Below are 18,894 nucleotides of genomic sequence, written 5' to 3'. Positions count from 1 at the left end.
TACTTGACAGCAGAAGAAATATATATAAGAAATATATATATTTGAAATATATAAGAAATATATATACACACATAGACACACATAGTTACACATTCATATATATAAGCATGTATATATACCTAGGTAAATATTATATAAAAAGAATAGACAGACATGTTTGTTGCTGAATTTGCCCTTTCTTTGATTTCTGCAATTATTAATTTTTTTAAAAATGCGTAACTTTTTTGATAAATGTCAATTGTGGAAAACCTATATCTGAAGTAGTATTTATTTGTTATATATATGAAAAATAAAATTAGTATACATACATATTTACTGTTATATATACACACACACTGTACAGACTTTATATAGTCTATACTCGCGATATACTTTCTTTGTAAACACACACAAAACATATATATTAATATATTATATACAATTCTATGTATTCTCTTGCTGTTTCTCTGTCTCTATATATACTATACAGAGTATATATACTCTGTGTGTATATATGTGTATATTCTTTGTATATATACACACACTGCACATATATAGATATACTGTAAATAATTTACACATACTAACAAAGTATAAAATATACAAATATGTATTTTATATAATTATATAATATGTAATAGTATACTCATAGTATATATGTTTATTATTCTATACAAGTTACTTTGTTAGACGTTTTGTATGTCAAACATAGTGCCAATATATATTGATTTTCTTGTAATAATGGTACATTACTGAATCTTATTCAACTGTGGTCACTTAGGATTTTCAGAAATCAGTTTTTCCATGCTTAATGTATAGTAAATATCCCCCCTTTTATATTTCTGTTGTTGGTGTTTGACATGCCATCTTGAATTTATTTGTAGTAATTTCATCTTTTGTTTTCAAGTAGATATTGTTTTACATTATTACTTTAAGTGACTAAATAACTTTTGAAAAATTTCCTCATTCAGAATATAAGATAATAGTCTAATTGATTTACATACTTTATATGCAGTATCTTTTTTGCTTCATTATTTTTATTAAATAAAATTACAGTGAACAAGAGGATATCACTTAATGTACCCGCCCAGGATTCCCAGAGTTTTGCTAGAACATTGATATTTTATTTTGGCATACCTTTCTAAACTACCTGTGCCCGTACTTTACACCACAATGATCAATTCCATAATTCCTAGCTAAATGTAAGAGGGAAAAATTACGTCTTACGGATATCAAGTGACATATCTAGCTAACTTCTCATCTGGGTAGTATTCACTCTGTTGAAAAATATTTAATGGTTATTAAAAGAATGAAAGCACACATTAGTTGCTTTGGTAGAATATTTTTTATGGTTTCTAACAAATAAACAGATTATATTTTCACACATCATCCATCAACTTTTTTTCAGCATTAAGACTAACAAAAATATCATTTCTCAAATGTTAGTTGCTGCACTCATCTTTCAGATGTAAAAATTCATTTTAAATGAAAGTAAAGGTTAAAGTCTATATAAAATGAAGATGACCTTCTGCAGGATAACTTCATGTGAATGTCATGGGTTTGCAGAAGGATTTGAATCAGACCAGGCTCCCAATAGTCTTTAGCAAAACTATAGGCTAAAATACATCATCAATAGACCTCAGGAAATCAAGTTTATTAGTCACTCTAATGGATTGTTTTGGAGTATTCAATCAACTCAAGTCACATAAGGAAAAGCAATTTTAAAAAAACAACTTTGAAAAGAGAATATTCACTCCAAGTGCTTTCTGAAAATGGCTTACTTGTTTTAAAATTAGTCTTATGCTAAAAATATTTCCATATGGTTTCTATTTTGACCTATGAGCAACACAGCTGTAATATTTCTTTATAAAACATGTGTCCTAGTTTAATGTTTTTGAGTAGCTAGATGCCGCGTATTAGGTATTTTAAACCAAAGGAGATTTCCATGAAAGGATATTTCTTTCCTTACTGGCAGACTCTGATATGCACACTTCCGGAACTTCAGTGTTTCCTGATATTTTAATCTGGTTACCCTTCAGTCACAATGTTATTTCCTAGCAGATCCCGTTATTCATATTGCATTGTGTAATGTGGAAGTATAAATAGTTTATGTCTGAGAAGATATTCCCAAGTGTGTGGCTCAAACTGGAACCTATGGAAAACAGCTTTCATTCTGCCCCTGACCAATATGCTTCCCAGTTCTGGTTATCTCTCACTGAGACTAAAAGGCTTTGCGAAATATCTAGAATTTCTTTGGAAGAGTAGTTAAGCTTTCATAGCACCCCTGTAACATTGGCAAATTTGGGCTTTCCTTCTTGGTATGGATTTTTCTCTCTTCTTCACATAGATCATTTTTTATTCCTTCAAGTCTCAATTTAAAGGTTAAGTTTCAATTGGGCATCATTTCTCACTCTTTTTCCTTTTGGTGAGATTGACCTGGGTTTCTGCTCTCTGTATTCTCTTCTCAAGGGATGTATTTCCCTTTTGGAACATTCTTCATAATGTATGACTATTGTTTATTTTCAACTCTGTAGGTTTATTTTAAATTTTTTCATAGCAAAGATTGACTTATTCATCTCTATAACTAATAAGAAGCATAAATTCCCAGTATATGTTACGGTGGAGGTTGAGGCACATGTGCAAAGGGGTGGGGAATAAAAATGGGCAAAGTTGTGCTGAAGTTAGACATTGCAATTTGGTTCAGTTAGTTCTCTAGAGCAATTCAAACAAGCAGGGAACCAAGCAGAATTGAGGAAGAGGTTTTTTTCATCGATCTGGGTAGCACTAGAAATTATTTTCACTAGGCAGTATTGTGAAGAAGAGGGAAACTTTCAAGAAGGAAGGCTTGAATTCTAAATAGTGAGGATGTAATCTGGATAGTTTGTTTTCCTGCAATTTATTATTAATCAAACTATGTATCAACTTGTGCCCTGAATCTACTAAATTATGAAATTAATGCTTACTAAATTTTACCTGCCTGTGGTGTTGCTAGGGTAAAAATAAAAGAGCAAGTTCTGATAAGAAAAGTAGATGAATCATAATAATGAGGCATGACGCATGGGAGCATCCAGTTTGACCATCTATAAATTCATCCTGGCCACCTGAGAAAAGTACCCTAGATCTATAATTTAGTAACAGTTTTCTCTTGGGTGTTATCTTTCAAAATCTGCATAAAGAAATCAATCCATTATTTTTTAATATTAATTTATCATGGTGTTCAATAGAGGAAAAATCGTTACTAAAAATATTTTAGCTGGGGAAATAAATTAATTGTCATTATTTTATAAATTCTAAGACTAAAATTTCATAATCAGAACAAAGCGCTATACTGCTATATTAACGAACTACAGGGAAAGCTCAATAATTTGTTCTATTACCTTTTACTTTCAAGGCTCAATCTTTTAATGAGTGATAGAAGGTGCACAGGTAACCTCGGAAATTCCCTTGTTTATTTGACTTTTCAGGAGAAAAGAACATTGATCAATATGCAAAATATATACTGAGTTAATTTGCATTAAGTTATTCTAATTTAAGTCAAGATGACTGGTCGATTACGCATTCAGAGATTTCTTATATATAGTAAAATAATTAATATATTTTAACTAATTATTAAATATTAAATAGTTGGGAGTTTAAAGTTAAATGCAAATATAAATTTTTAGACAGTGAACATGACTAGCTACTTCCTGAGTTTGTGGAGAAAAGTTATTTAATCAATATTCCCATAAATCTTTGAAAACATTACAGGTCCTTATCTTCTTCAAATGATACAAGTGTACTTTAGCTTGAGTGTAATAGTTTAGATTAGGTCTTTTGTTTCTATGTGATTGATCATGGTCAGTTAACTAACTCTAGTGTCTCATGTGGTTGATCATATAATCACAGCCTCAGGCCACAACTTCCAAATTATGGCTATCGCCATTTGTCAAGCCAGCTCAACATACAAGAAGTAAGTTAGAGAATAAGGCAAAAGACTTGGGGCTTGACCACTAGAATTGCCATGTAGGAAACAAGATACTGATACATTCTGCCAACTTTTTCAGAGACTAGTGTGCCATATCAGATTCCTATTGGTAAGAGATCAAAGAAAGAGTCATTTCTGTTTCTTTTTCTCTTTGCTCTAAAACCTTACCCCCCAAATCATTTAAAAACCTGGATGAGTAAATACATTGTAGCAGAATAAGTTTAAAGCCTTTAGCTATAAACTTATTTTTAAAGTGGCTTTAACAATCTTTTTCAGTTATTTGATTACATAAAGGCAAGTATTGGAGCCACATTCACCAGAGGCAAGCTGGAAGTTTTGTTTCTTACAGTTTCCAGTTTGAGCCTAACACCTATGACTGACTTCTTAGAAATAAGCCATTTACTTTTTCACATTCCATGGATAAAATAAATCAAAAAGAATATTCAGACCTACAAGAGAAGAATCACAAAATAGAGCCCTGGTGAAGACCAGTATCCAGTGCAGGAAGTAAAATCAAAATGCAGTGCCCTGATTCTGATACCTCTGGCAGCCTCCCCTCATCAATGTGTGTCCCAAATAGCCAGGGTTATTCTATGTTCCCCACTATTCTGCTGGATGAGATTTCTTGTTTATGTGTTAGTAGGTGCTTGTACTCTCCCTTCAAGATAGTACATTTATGATTGAGTATGGTTTTCTGAAGATCATATTTAAACATAATACATGGTGGTTGATATATGTGGGAAATATTGTTCAATAGTTTCTTTTGAGATCAATCAAATCACATTATATACGATGCAAATTCTTACACAACTGTTTCATCCAGATGATCTTATGCTGGGGCTGTCACCTGTGGAGCATAAGTGAAAGCAAAATTATAAAGTATTTGCTCAGTTCTTAAGGAAGGATACTTGCCATCATATCTTAGGAACTCTGGCCCTCTAGTATAACATTGTGCCTATTTGTTGGCAAATTAGGGAGCCATCCAGATGGTACCATTTTTGTACATTCCGTGAAGAATTTCTGTCCCTCTTAAGACCTTGCTTCAATATAACTGGAAAGGCTTTACGTCTCAATGAGCACCACCTAAACTTCAAATATTGGAGAGAGATAATAAAATGCGTAAATACCAAGTAAGGTGTAAATAACTGATAGCTAATTCATTCTTAGGGGCAAATAAGTTGTTGAGATTAAAAGAAGGGATTTATAAGGGCCCTATGAACATGTTTTGGGAATTTGCAGAGCAAGAAGTGGAAAATATGTTGGAGCAACAGTATGGCTGACTTCCATTCCTCATGATAACGCATACATTGCATCTTCATTCAGATGGATCATGGTTAGGCATCATAGTTAAGCTCAGTAACAAAAAATTGTAAGTGACAAATCATTGCTCTGTATTGTGTAAATGCCTGCTGCTTTTTTTATTTTTACATGAGTTTTCAACACCAGACTTCATTTCTTCAGCAATGATATTGTTTAGCTATATCCTCTGGTTAAGTTTTCCTGGTGAGAATACAAGTCGAATGCTAGCATCTTAAGAACTCAGTTACAAACACTCAGTTCTTACCTGCTTCCACTTTTATCCTCCAAACCATCTTCCAGTGACCATGTTGATAGCTGAATGGAATATGTTGCAGAGGGAGATTGTGCTGGCAGTTGCTACCTTATTTCTAACTAAGAATAAACTGATTTTGTTTCAGACAATATAAACTTTTATTGTCAACATCAAATTGTTTTCATAATGAAAGTATGGTCTATATTGCTTTTCCCATTCTCTAATTAGTCATTTAAAGTACACTCCTAAAGAAAATATTGCCTTTTGATGTCACTCTAGAGATAGTAAAATCAGTGGAAAACTGTCTTTCTTTAAAAAATAAACAAAATGATAAAGTGATGATATAATAAAGTAATTAGGAATTCTTAGGTAAATAGCTTATATGGATTTCCCTTAATAAATTATTGGCCTTTATAATAGGAGCTTCCTTGGCCTTTATACAAATTTCAGCAAACTTTACCAGTGTTCATTAAGCTATAGCATCAAGCAACTGAGTTCAACTTTAAAGCTTCCTTGTTTTGGATACTCAACAATATTTGCATCAGTTACAAACTTGGATGAAATTAAATAGCTAAAAGAATCATGTGACTGAATGTATCATAACATAATCTAGCATGGCACAGATTCTACTTTACACTATTAATATATTTGATAATTTGATCTAATAGAAACTAACTTTTTTTTCTTTTCACTGGTGAATCTTAATTAAAGTAAAATCATTACTTGCAGCTAAAGTTCTGATTCTGCATTTTATTCAAATTATGATCATATTCCTCTCAACAGAATTCAGTGAGCTTTTTGCAAAAACCATTTTATAGGCACATATAAAATCTACAATATGGCAAGCTAACCTTATACCAAAATATATGTTTCTCAATACTGCTTGAAAGAATTGTACAGTCATTATAAATGTTAATAGCCCCTATCTGAGAATAATAAAAACTGGGGATAGTGTTGAGGTGGGATGTGGGCAGTTTATCAAAATTTTCAGCTTTGTTTTTGCTTCTTAATAGTCAACTTTTGTTTTTGTTTTTGTTTTAAAAAAAGGAACTTGATACTTTGTGGAATCCATCTGTGCTATAATCAAATAATCCATCAGCAAGTCTCCATTAATAAACGTCGCTACCAGGAAGAATCAATGTTGCTAAAATTTTGTTCTTTGCTCAGCTCACAATTATTTCCTCTTTCTGTTTTCTCTGGAACAGATGCATACACCAGAATTGCTGTCAGTTTCAAAATTAATAAGCTAATTATTTTATGAGAAATAACACAGAATATATAAATACAAATATTTTAGTAATGTACAAATTGCAAATTCCTATCAGACTGAATAAAAGTGAAATACAGATATTTTTCATTAAAAAATTCTATTGAAGTAGTAAAATATTTGAAATCACATAATTCCACATTTTGAAATATGAATAGAAGTGTTCCTGCTGTATCACGTTCATTCCTTCTATAAACATGTATAGATTGCTATACTGCGCTAGGTCTGAAGCTCCAAAGAAGAAAACAAAGCAGGGGCTTCCTCAAGCAACAAAACCAGCTTGGTAGCCAACAAGATTACATAGGGAAGTGACAAGGTAGTTTTGGAATGCTAGATCAAGGGATTTGGCAAATGCATGTAATACCTCTGGTGGATGGGACATGTAATTTGTCACTGATTAGAGATTCACAGAAGAGATTCCAAACAGTATTAAAGATCAGCTAAAAGTATAGGCTAAGAATTTACAGTAATGCCTATCCACAAATTGTGTCAGAACTATGTTACCAGTGGAGGGTGTCTAGGTTTTTGGTGTCTTGAACAAATAATTGGACAAAACACACAAACAAAGCAAGGAAGGAATGAAGCAACAAAAGCAGTGAATTATTGAAAATGAAAGTGCACTCCACAGGATGGGAGGGGGCCCAAGCATAGGAGCTCAATAACTGCGCTACAGAATTTTCTAGTGTTTAAATACCCTCTAGAGGTTTCCATTGGTTACTTGGTGTATGCCCTATGTAAATGGAGAGGATATTTCTTGTCATAGCTGAAGTGTTTCCATTTGATTTAGTTCTAAGAAGTCAGCGTGAATTGGCCTTATGTTCCCTGCCTCCAGACCCTATCCTCCTGCCTCAGCAATATACTGCATAATTGACCTCTTTTTAAAGAAATAAGCATAATGACTCCAATACCTATGGCTTGAATAAAAATTTGTGTTGATCCCAATTTACAAAAGTCCCAGTTTACAAAAAGCATCAGGTTCCCAACCATAATTTTACATACTCAACTTTATTCTAGAAGGGCATGGAAGGCAATAAGAGTAAACAGCTATGCAACTATGGAAATCAGTAACCTGTGTAGAAATTACCAACATGACAACAAAAATACGTTCCAAATAGATTTATGAACCTCTCTTCTTTCTTTATCATGATGTACAGTAGGTTTTGCATTTCCCTTATTTTGGCTTTCTCATTTAACTTGGTGTGCACAGGAAATAAGTTTTTGAATGTCTTACTGTGACACTGAGTGTGATAATGAGGAGGCATACTGTGATTGCAAATGGATTAGGTGGGGGCCAGGGAAAGGGGTACTTACTAGAGAATAAAACACACAGAAACAATCTTTTTTGAAAAAACAAACTATCTTCATTTGTTTTTATTGTTTGGAATATATGTAATAAGAAAACTTTGGGGACTTTTTTTTTTTCTTATATTCTTAAGTAACCTAGAGACAAGAATGTTATAAGAAAGAATGTAGGCTGACTGGAAAAGAGACCCTAAGGAAGACAGAAAGCTCCAAAAATGTTATGGGCTAGTCAGGAGATAATATAGGCATTCATCTTCCTCTACAGTAACTTGTGTGTTAAGAAATGACTTTGCCTTATTCAAGCACTGTGAGTCATGATGAAATGAACCGCTTGGGGGAATTTTGCAACTCGCTCAATGTTCTGACCCTTTTCATATTTAGGTATGATTGGGGATTTTCTAACCAAGCTGATGATGATATTAGGGAACATTTTCATAGCTTGTTCTTTAGTCCATTAGAGCAACACATTGAAAACTAGTTTCATGGTATCCTTGAAAATTCCCCAACTTGTACCCTAAAAAAAAACTCTAAAATTGCCATGTGCATATGTATGTATATACACACACATATATATAAATAGACACACATACACACACATAAATATTTCATCAAACAACTGTATGTATTCTCTGCTTTGGATTTCTTTAAAATAGCACTACAATCTTGTTAAAATAAGTAGAAAATACTCTAAAATGTTAAAATAAAAGGGTGAAAGGAAATTTATAAGAACTTGGAGAAATCTAAACACATTTGAAAATTCTCATTTCAGGTATTAGACAATGTTGCTGTGTCTCACTGATAAGACCAAATAAGATATGACATGATATAAAAGTTTGGGATCAGGAACAGTTTAAAAAAGACTCCGTATGAATTGAAAATATTAAAAGTATATATTTTTATTTAAATATATGTATATATTATATGTAGCTAATGCTTACATATGGAAAATATTTTCATGATTTTTTGACATAATCCAGTTAAATTTCTTATTTTATAAAGGAAACTGTTGCAGCCCAGAGTCTCATCTGCTCAAAAATAGACACTCAGTTAGTGGCACAGTTAGAGTTGCTGATTCCAGGAGCAGCTCTCTTTAGACCAATCTCACTATAGAACAGTGTATCTTTATAATAGCATGGCAATATTTGTGCCATTTTATCATTTCTTTTTGATGTATGATTTTTCAATATAATAAAACCTATTGATTTAGAGACCCTTGTATGTATTGCCAAAATAATATTCAGAAAGTGAGTGCTTTCTATTTATATAAGTTATCACAGATCTTGAGCTGTTTCTGTCTTGTGTTTCCTGGCCAGAGATAAAGAGAAGATTATTTTTCATAGACAAGAAGAGGAAACAACTAAATTAATTGCCTTTGTAGCTAGGGATTTATAGTTCAAACTTTGGACCCAAGTTTTTAAATAATTCTAAAATAGGATTTCAATGGTTATTTTTTCAATTTAACAAAGAGAACATAAATTCTATAGCTGAGTTCTGAAGCATTTCATTAAATTTAAGTTCATTTATCTGCTCAGGCTTTCAGCTGACATCTGCAGAGCAAAATCAAGATCTTTTCTGGCAAATTGATTGATGGTGTGCCATATTATTTATAAGGCTCAAACTATGTACATTTGAAATATTTTCATTTAAATGAAATTTGAAACAAGATATGAAACCTTGCAATATGTATTTACCCAGAAAACAAGTGAAATTCATATCATAATTAAATATAATTTTTTTGCATATTCTAAGTTGGCAAAAGGTTATAGAAAAATTTTTAAATGGGTGGGTGTGGTGGCTCATGCCTGTAATTCCAACTTTTTGGGAGGCCAAGGTAGGAGGATTGCTTGAGGCCAGGAGTTTGAAATCAGGCTTTTCAACATAGCAAGCCCTCATCTCTACAAAAAAGAAAAAAAAATTAATGTTCTCTTTTAAGTGCAAGTTTTGTCACTATGGTTTAAATCATTTTGCTAGGAAGTTTATAATGTGGATGTCATAGTGTTGGAAACTGAATGCCACCATTTTATGATTTGCTGAAATTACCCAGTAGCAATTTTATTTTCTATTGTACATATTTGCTAGTCTATTCAAAGCAAATATTCATGAAGCTATAGCAAAAGAAACTGCCAGAGAATAGCTTCTAAGCATCTACAGTGTTGATGACTTACAGTGAGTCTCTGGAATTCACAGAAACATTTTCATTATAAATTCAGATTAAATTAATTACATTCTTATAGATAAATAAATACTTGTAATATAGTGACTTTTAATTTGATATTTAATTTAACAGGTTTTTTTTTCTCTAGTGCTCCAAATTTAATCAGTTACTAATGTTTTGACTGGAATGAAAAAAATACATAATTTACATATTACTTCTGGCCAAGATGTATTTTGGTTATGTTATTTGATGTGTATTCGTTAGCAGTCTAAGTAATGTAACATTGGTCTTCATTAAAATCTCTGATTTCTTTCATTTATCTTATAGAAACACCATACTGTAATTTCTGTTCCTTCTTCTGGTTGTAGAAGAGAGGTAGCAGACTCATGACTCACAGTTTGACTTGGCCTACTGACCTGCTTAATAACACAGATATTTAAAAATGAAATTAACTGTCAACATCTAAGTATCATGAGATTTTTCAACAGACATTTCAATATCTGGTGATTCTTTTAAAGATCAGAATATCTGGCAGTCCTAGATCTCTATTTCTTCATGATTATGGTGAGGCAGACCTAAATCGTGCTGTCTTCTATACTCTAGGCACTGACATCCTGTCCTTCACAGTCCCATGTACCGCTTTGTCTCATACATCCTGATAACAAGCCTGATTCATTCATCCTACTTTCTGGTTTTATCCAGCTCTCTAACCATTTGTTTTACTATTCTGCCTTATGAGAGTAGAATGAAGTATAAACATATATGGTAATTGATTCAGACACTCTCAGAAATGGAGAATACTGCATAGTTTCCAATGAATATCTCATTTAAAAATAATGACATTAAGACATTCTTGGGCAGATTAAGTGACTTACTAAGACAACATATACAATAGCTAGGTATCAAATATACATCTTTCGGCATGAGTTTAAGAAACCAAATTTGAAACAGTTGCAAAAAAGTAGGCCACATTTCACCAGTAGAGATTCCTTTCAGGCAGTGTGTGCTAGTAAATGTTTCACAACTAACTCTCTGGGAAAACAAAGTGGATTTATAGCATTTGCTGATTTTCATAATGTAAATACTCCCACCATGCCCAATTTCAAACTAATGAGGAGATGACAAGCAGCTCACAAAATTCCAAAAAAAGAAAAAATTCACTGTGGCTCTGTGGATCAGTAAGGGCCAGCTCTAGCACATCAGAATAAACATATGGTTCAAGGAGATTCTTGTGTAAATTGGGTGAAGAAAACTGCAGCTATTAACATTCAGGCTTAATAAATGAAATCATTTCTATCACACTGGCACCTCAATCAGAAATGTCTATCTCATGTATTAGAATATTTTCTTTAAATTTTAGCTGTCATCATAGTTTAGATTGGCCAATGCAATTGCACTGGCAACAGTGATATCTGTAAACACAAAGTCAATAGCTTTTACAGACTTCATCACTTCTGGTTTATTACACCAATCAAATATCAACATGTGTAATGGATACTTTATATAATAATCCCTAAAGTGGAGTCTCTAAATATTTTGGACAAAGAAAAAGTATTTAAATTCTTCATCCTCCTATTGAGTTTGGACTGGCTAAATGCTTTTGAAACTAGTTCAACACTGGCTCCCTAAAGCACTTGTGACACTTACTGATGACTCAGGTTTTGCAAGTGGAAAGTAGAGCTAATGATCAGAATGGTATCTTATTTCCCTCAGGTATTACGGTGTGTGTGTGTGTGTGTGTGTGTGTGTGTGTGTGTTTTAGCACTAATGAGAAAATTCCCTAGACTTCCTTTAGAGTTCCTATGTGTAAAGTCAATAGCGATAAGTGACGTGGGAGTATTTTAACCTGGAAATTGGAAAGTAAGTCTCCAAAGTATTACATTTTAACGTCAGTACGGAACAGTAGCAATTTTCTCTGATGGATTTTATTTTTTTCCAAGTTTCAGTCAGTGTTTTCTACCAAATCTAAGTAAAAAATTGAATCTGGAGATAATGCTTTTAGAATTTAAAAATTATGAATAATTCAAGTTGATTGTTTAAATTTCGTTTTCTTTAAAAAAAATTATTTGTCCACCTGGGAGTTATGAAATGATATCTTTAATTTGCCAAGTTGGAGAAGTCAACGTGAGATTTAACATTTGCTGTAGAAAAGTGAAAGTTATTTATTTCTAGGTTATACTTAGTAAGGAGTACCATATATTTAGTTGAGAAAGCATGTGAACCTTCCTTTCTACATTCAATCTTAGGTTTCTTTTCTATGTATTTTTATCCATTAGTAGTCTACCGTACCTAATGACAAATCTCAGAACAATGCAAAAAAAAATGAATGCAGCATTCAACCATGGCCAAATTAATAGTAATACTAGAGATCCAGCTCAACGTGGTCTTTAGGGGCACAGATTCTGGAGCCAGATTACTTTGTAATTCCCAGTTCCACATTTTACTAGCTCCATGACTTTGTGCCAGTTAGTTATTATCATCCCTTATCTGTAAAATAAGATTATTAAGAGTGTCTACTCATAGGGCTCTGAGAAATCATTTGAGTTATATGCAAAGCGTTTAGAACAGTGCCTGGCACATTATAAGTGCTAAATAAGGCTTATCTCTAATTAATACATCACTGAAAAATAGATTCAGTAAATTTTCCTTTGGGTAATTAAGCAAAGCTCATTTCTCTCTCAAGGTATTTCTCTCTTTCCAGACAACTCTTCCCTTTCTGCAGGTTTATTTAAATTAATCACAGTTGTTCTAATAAAGTGTCTTGAAATACATAAATGAATTTTGGTTAGAAAAACAAATAGGAGACCTAGAGATCACATCTTATTATGCCTTACCTTGATTTCAGAAAGTAATCTACTAAAAATATCTGAGTTTATCTTCCTTTTTACTTCTATATCTCTCTCAATTTAGATTGAAGTCAACTGATGGTTATCTTTCTATTCTGGTGAATATTAATAATGAATGAATATGTCCAATGTATCCCCCAAAGTGGGGATAGGTCCATTCCAAACTTGGCAGTTGAAATAGCTGTACATTAATTGTTGGTGAATATCTATGGACTTCACTATGTTACTTCCGAAACAATAATTGGCAACCACAGCATCTATAATGACGTTTTTATATTTTAAACTTCATCTTAAGCTTTTCACAGGAGTGACAAGTACAATCTCAGATGAAAAATTTGGTATGAATGAATACGAATTAGTGGAGAACCTTATTTTAACCACCAGTAATAGCAATACTGTAAGAAGTTAACTTTCCAATATTTATCTTTAATAGCATTACACATTTTCAAATTTCAAGTAGCCACATTTACTTTGGTTGAAAAAAAAGATTTTTAAAAATTTAGTAGTTTTTCCCATGCATTTTCCTACTCATTTACCTACTTTCATGTGAGTATAACTTAATTTGTTTATGATGGAAAAAATGACAACCTCTTTCAAAATAAGTAGAGAATCATTCCTGGCTGTCAAAATATCTCACAATTCCATGGAAAATTGATTAACTCTCCATATGATAATTCAAGGGAGAAGTGTCACTGTATAGCTAATCATGTGCCATTTACTAATAGATCTGAACTTACGGGTAGCTTTAGCATTTGTGATTGAAAATTTTGTGTACAAACAGAAAAAGAACAAATTAATATATTTTCTGGAATATAAAAATGCTACATCTATAATAACAAGAATGTAAATTGGAAGACATCTCAGCCCTAGTTCCTTGTTTGTTTTTCATTTCACCCATGTTTTACATTTTGAAAAAAACAATAATCCAAGAAGGCCGGATGTGTTAGGCCATTTTTATGTTGCTATAAAGAGATAACTGAGGCTGGGTAATTTATAAATAAAAGGGATTTAATTGGTTCATGGTTCTGCAGGCTGTATAAGAATCATGGCACCAGCATCTGCTTGGCTTCTGGGGAGGCGTCAGCAAGCTTACAATCATGACAAAAGGCAAAGTGGGACAGGCTCTCACATGGTGAGAGCAGGGTCAAGAGAAAGAGCTGGGAGATGGTACACACTTTTAAACAATCATATCCTGTGAGAACCCACTCACTATCGCAAGGACAGCACCAAGCCATAAGGGATCCACCCACATGATCCAATCACCTCTCACAAGGCCCCACATCCAATGTTGAGGCTGACATCTCAACATGGTATTTCCCAGGGACATAGATCCAGATTATATCACTGAATCAATTTGATCAGTAGTGACAACTTAAGAAAGAGAAAAAGTAATAAACAATAAGAGAAACAATATTAAAGCTTTAGAAACTCAAAACTGTCAACATAAAATAAATACCATAATAATACCTTTTTAGCAATTACATTTTAATGTCCCCATTCGATACCAAATTATAGGCATTTTCATAGATAAAAATATTTCTTTTTAATGTCAGTTAAATAGTTATGAGATAACTGTGCTTAATATTTAAAGTTTTACTAAATGCTAATTTCTAATTTCTAAGCATTCTGCTCTCTATGCCCTACAACTAACAATTGCTCCTTTTGTCACTAGAGCGTTCTATGTTTTATTATTCTTTTATTCTTCTACCTGTCTAATTCTATTAAAAATGGACCTCAGTAGTACATATCCATATACATTATATGTGTGTGTATATATAAATGCATGTATATTTAGATGGAATTTTATAGAAATAATGTCTTTTGATTATTATATTAGCACTCATTTGATTAAGATGATATCCTAATCTCTTCAATATCCTTTAATTCTTTCATTCACTTATTCAACAAATATTTATTGAACATATTCTAGGTGCCAGGCATTTTGCTATATCTGGGATGCACATTTGAATTAGATACAGTTCTTACCTCACTTGGATAATTATATTGTTATTAGGAAATTATAGTACCGTACGATAAGTGCAAGATGAGTGAGGAGTGGATGCTCTTGGAGAATCCCTTCTAGCAAAACTGAGTTAGGGGACTGATTAAAAGAAAAAGGCCTGCTGATGAAATTGACATTCTAGTTAATGCCAAGAACAGGGAAATACGTTTCAGGCAGAGAAAATTACATGTGTAAAACCAGAGGCCTTTTTGTTGTATAATATTAGTTAACACCCATGTAACACTATATGCCAATCATTATTACAAGTGATTTTCACACTATGTAAACAACCCTTTTGACATAGGTTTGTTATTACTCCTATTTTTCTCTTGAGAAAACTGAGGAATGAATTAGTTAAGTAACTTTCCCAAGTTAACATAACCAGTAAAATTCAAGGCTGGGATCCAAGTAGCTTGGTTCCATCATCTGTAAGTTTCCTACTTCCTCTCAATTCCATACTGCCTTTTACAATAAAAATGCACAGAAGATTTAATTTATTATGCTAGGTATTCATTTTGCAGCCCAATCAATTGAGTAAAATAATTTGAGAAACCAACTTACAAACGTTTAAATAATACAAAAACCCTGTGTGTCATCAATCATGAATTTCAACTCAGCAAGAAGGCTAGGAATTTACTTCACTTTAACAAAGATTTATTGTCTTCCTCTACATGCAAGACTCTGTGCTAGGTACCAGGGATGTAAAGATCAGTTAGTTTAATCTCTTCCCTGAAAGAGTTCACAATTTTTCCTGCAAAATAATATGTTAACCAATAAGAATTTATAAAACTTATGCCAAATACAACCAAGCAGACACCTACGTGTGATATAAGGGTACAGAGTTTGCCTGACTCACCTTTGAATGCATAGCACGATGTATATTACCTGACTAAAGATAGAATGAATGAATCAACACAGCAACATGCTATAAAGGGAAGAATTACTTTCCTCAGGGTAAATCATGAGATACTTCATTAAAAGGAGGCATTTAGGGCCTGTAAGAGTGGATTGGATTTTCTTAACGGAAGGTGGTAGAGTAGTAAGGTAGATGAAACTTGACACATAGAGGGAAAGAGGAGCAAAAGCAATAGAGTAGAAAAGTTAGAACTGAATAAGAACAATGAGAGAATGTCCTGAAGAGTTGGGTTGGTGTAAGTTTCTAGATGGCCTCGAATGATGTAACAGGAGCCTATAAGAACATTTTAGAGGTTAATTTGTTACCCTTTGTGCAAATTAATGGTGATCTAAGGCAGACTAATGAAAAAAAGAAGAGAAGGAAAGAGATATATGTGGAAGTTAGTTAGGGATGTATTAAGATTATGTTTTTAGAATGCTGCAATACATTTTAGTGCAGTAACCTACATTAACTGAAAAAGAGAGAGTCATACTTTGAAAATAAGAACAATCTCCTTCATTTCATTTATGGGCATAGCAAATTTCTCTTCTTATCATTGCAGTTTCTGTGGTCCAAAGCATGTTTGAAAATGAAACATCTGTGATACTGAAATATCTTCAATAACAAAACATCTGCGATACGAAAATATCTTCATTTTTTTTTAGAAATTGAGAAGGCTTCCCTTAGGCATATGTCCCAGATATACAGTATCACATCTTAGTTATAATTGAAAACACTGTGGTGCCCCAATAGAGCCTCCAAAAGAAAAACTAACCCATATGGATTTAACTAAAATAAATATAAATAATTAATTAAATAAAACCTAAAGTGTGAACTGATTTGTATCAAAGCTTCTGCTTTAAATGTCAATGAGCAGAACACACTTAATCCATCCAAATATGGAGTGTTTGTTATTGATATTTAGTATCTATGTAGAGAAAGATTAAAATAGCATTTAAACTAAACTAGATTCTCTTTAGAATTCATAGGTAAGTTCCTTCCTTCTAAATATTTCCTAGAACCAATATTTTAAATAAAGTTATGGTTCTAGATTCTGGGAGTATACTCAAGTATTTTTGACTTGCATACAATATGTAGATTCCCATCATTTCTCAATTCCTGTGTCACCTTTCCAGCCCCTCTCCCCATAACACAAACCAATTGTAGAAAAGTTAGTTCGAGTTAGATAAAGAAAATTTTTAAAAAATATATATTTTTTGAGCCCCCTGACCCTCAGAGATAATCAGACCCAACTCATATAGGAGCATTTTAGCTCTATGCATTGGGCCTGATGGACAATAATTTCAGTGGAGCAGAGATAGTGGAGAATGAAAGAAAAATGAATTTCATGAAACACAATGGAGATGAGAAAATATGCTGAAGAAGAGTTGTGTCTCTGCATGAAGGAAAAACAATGGTAGTAATAATAATTCCATTTATTGAACATTTATTTTATCATTGAATCATCATAAGTAGGTTTTATAAGTCTTTTTTTAAGATGAAAAGAATTGTGCCTCAAAAAGAATTAAAAAAAATCTGGTTAAGAATCCAGGTGGGAAGTTTTAGAATTGATAAATGTTTTATGTCTCAAGGTATAATTTTAGTATTTTTTATAGTTACATTTTGGAGATTGTCTTGATGTGGCACCTGCAAGGCATTTTATACAGTCCTTTTGTGGTTCAGTAAACAGCTACCTGGGCCTTAGTTATGGGATAGAGACTGTCAGTCACCCCAGGGTAAGGACTATGTCTTTTCTCATCTGGGCCTGTTCACCAGCCAAGTACCTGGAGAACAGTAGTTCCTTCAAAATTAAGTGGTCAATGGAGAACAGAAGCAATAATGAGAAAAGAAATAATTCAAAAAGTTAATTTAGGTAGACAAATATAATTATATAATGTAACTAATTACCTCTGGCAAGCTAGCTATTTCAATTTCAATTAATACTATTGAAGAGAGTTGTCACTGGACATTTATTATAAGTCCTATATGTATGTGTAATAGGTTTTATTTTGAGAAGCTATAGGTCTAATTTTAAGAATGCATTGGTTATACTGTGCTTTACCAATTCTAAGTAAACATAATAAAACATAATATTTATATTTGAAGTCATATGCAAGTATAGTTACATAAATAGATATGATTACTGAATCTCCTGTAGAAATTATTTGCTTGTATCCTTTAAAAATTAATTTTAGTTGTACTTACACACATATATTTCTTGCATATTTGTACATTTATGCACACACATAGACAAATATAATGCAACCATTTGAAATAATATCTTTGTCTAAGTTATACAATAATCAGTTGCCATACCATTCTTGATGGTGTGTCCTTGACTGCTTGCCTGAACTCATGAAGTTATTACAATATATTACCATCCAGAAATATTATAACACATAAAATAAGTCTGTTGACGGTTTATAGAGGTAACTTGAATTCGGAAGAATAAAATATTTGATGTATACGGATATCTGCTGCATATGACAGTTTCTAACTTAGAAATGGATTAGGCTTTAAAAATTTGAAATCCAGATAGGAAACTACTGGCTGTTTTATTCAACGATAAATACTACAGTACTAATTATGTGCTAGGCATTACTTAAAGCACTTTACAAATTTTACTTTATTTGGTCTCCATAACAACTCTATAAGGTAAATAATATTCCCATTTTATTGACGATGAAATAAAGCACAATGAAATCAAATATCTTATACCAGCTCACATAGTAAGTGGTAACACTAGGCTTTGAAACTCATCGGTCTGGCTCCAGAGTCTACACCCATAATTATTGCACAGAATGTCTTGTAAACTCTATTCCCTTTCACTTACTTGCCCCTTGTAACAGGTCTTCAACAGTTTTGCAAGCGATTGCTAAAGTCTTAGAGCGAGCCACATAAGTATTTTATCTTCAGTGTGGCACATTTATGA

At 32.5% G+C, this 18,894-nt stretch overlaps 1 protein-coding gene across 2 annotated transcripts in view, besides 2 other annotated features; it reads left to right on the top strand.

Moving 5' to 3' along the window:
- The window catches only part of ST8SIA4 (ST8 alpha-N-acetyl-neuraminide alpha-2,8-sialyltransferase 4), a 96,350-nt gene that overhangs the window by 54,311 nt on the left and 23,145 nt on the right, over positions 1–18,894 (top strand). The gene's annotated exons all lie outside the window — the stretch shown is intronic.
- Positions 7,172–7,391: an enhancer, noted in NCBI's record as "active region_22847". NCBI's record gives its function as "activates an Ori minimal core promoter by ATAC-STARR-seq in GM12878 lymphoblastoid cells {active_cell/tissue: GM12878}" and the evidence as "EXISTENCE:reporter gene assay evidence [ECO:0000049][PMID:35858748]".
- Positions 8,306–8,555: an enhancer, noted in NCBI's record as "active region_22846". NCBI's record gives its function as "activates an Ori minimal core promoter by ATAC-STARR-seq in GM12878 lymphoblastoid cells {active_cell/tissue: GM12878}" and the evidence as "EXISTENCE:reporter gene assay evidence [ECO:0000049][PMID:35858748]".

Source organism: Homo sapiens, chromosome 5 (assembly GCF_000001405.40).
Source record: "Homo sapiens chromosome 5, GRCh38.p14 Primary Assembly".
In the NCBI taxonomy this organism is placed as follows: domain Eukaryota; kingdom Metazoa; phylum Chordata; class Mammalia; order Primates; family Hominidae; genus Homo; species Homo sapiens.
Note: the sequence above shows the minus strand (reverse complement) of the source record. Positions and strands in the feature narration are given on the sequence as shown.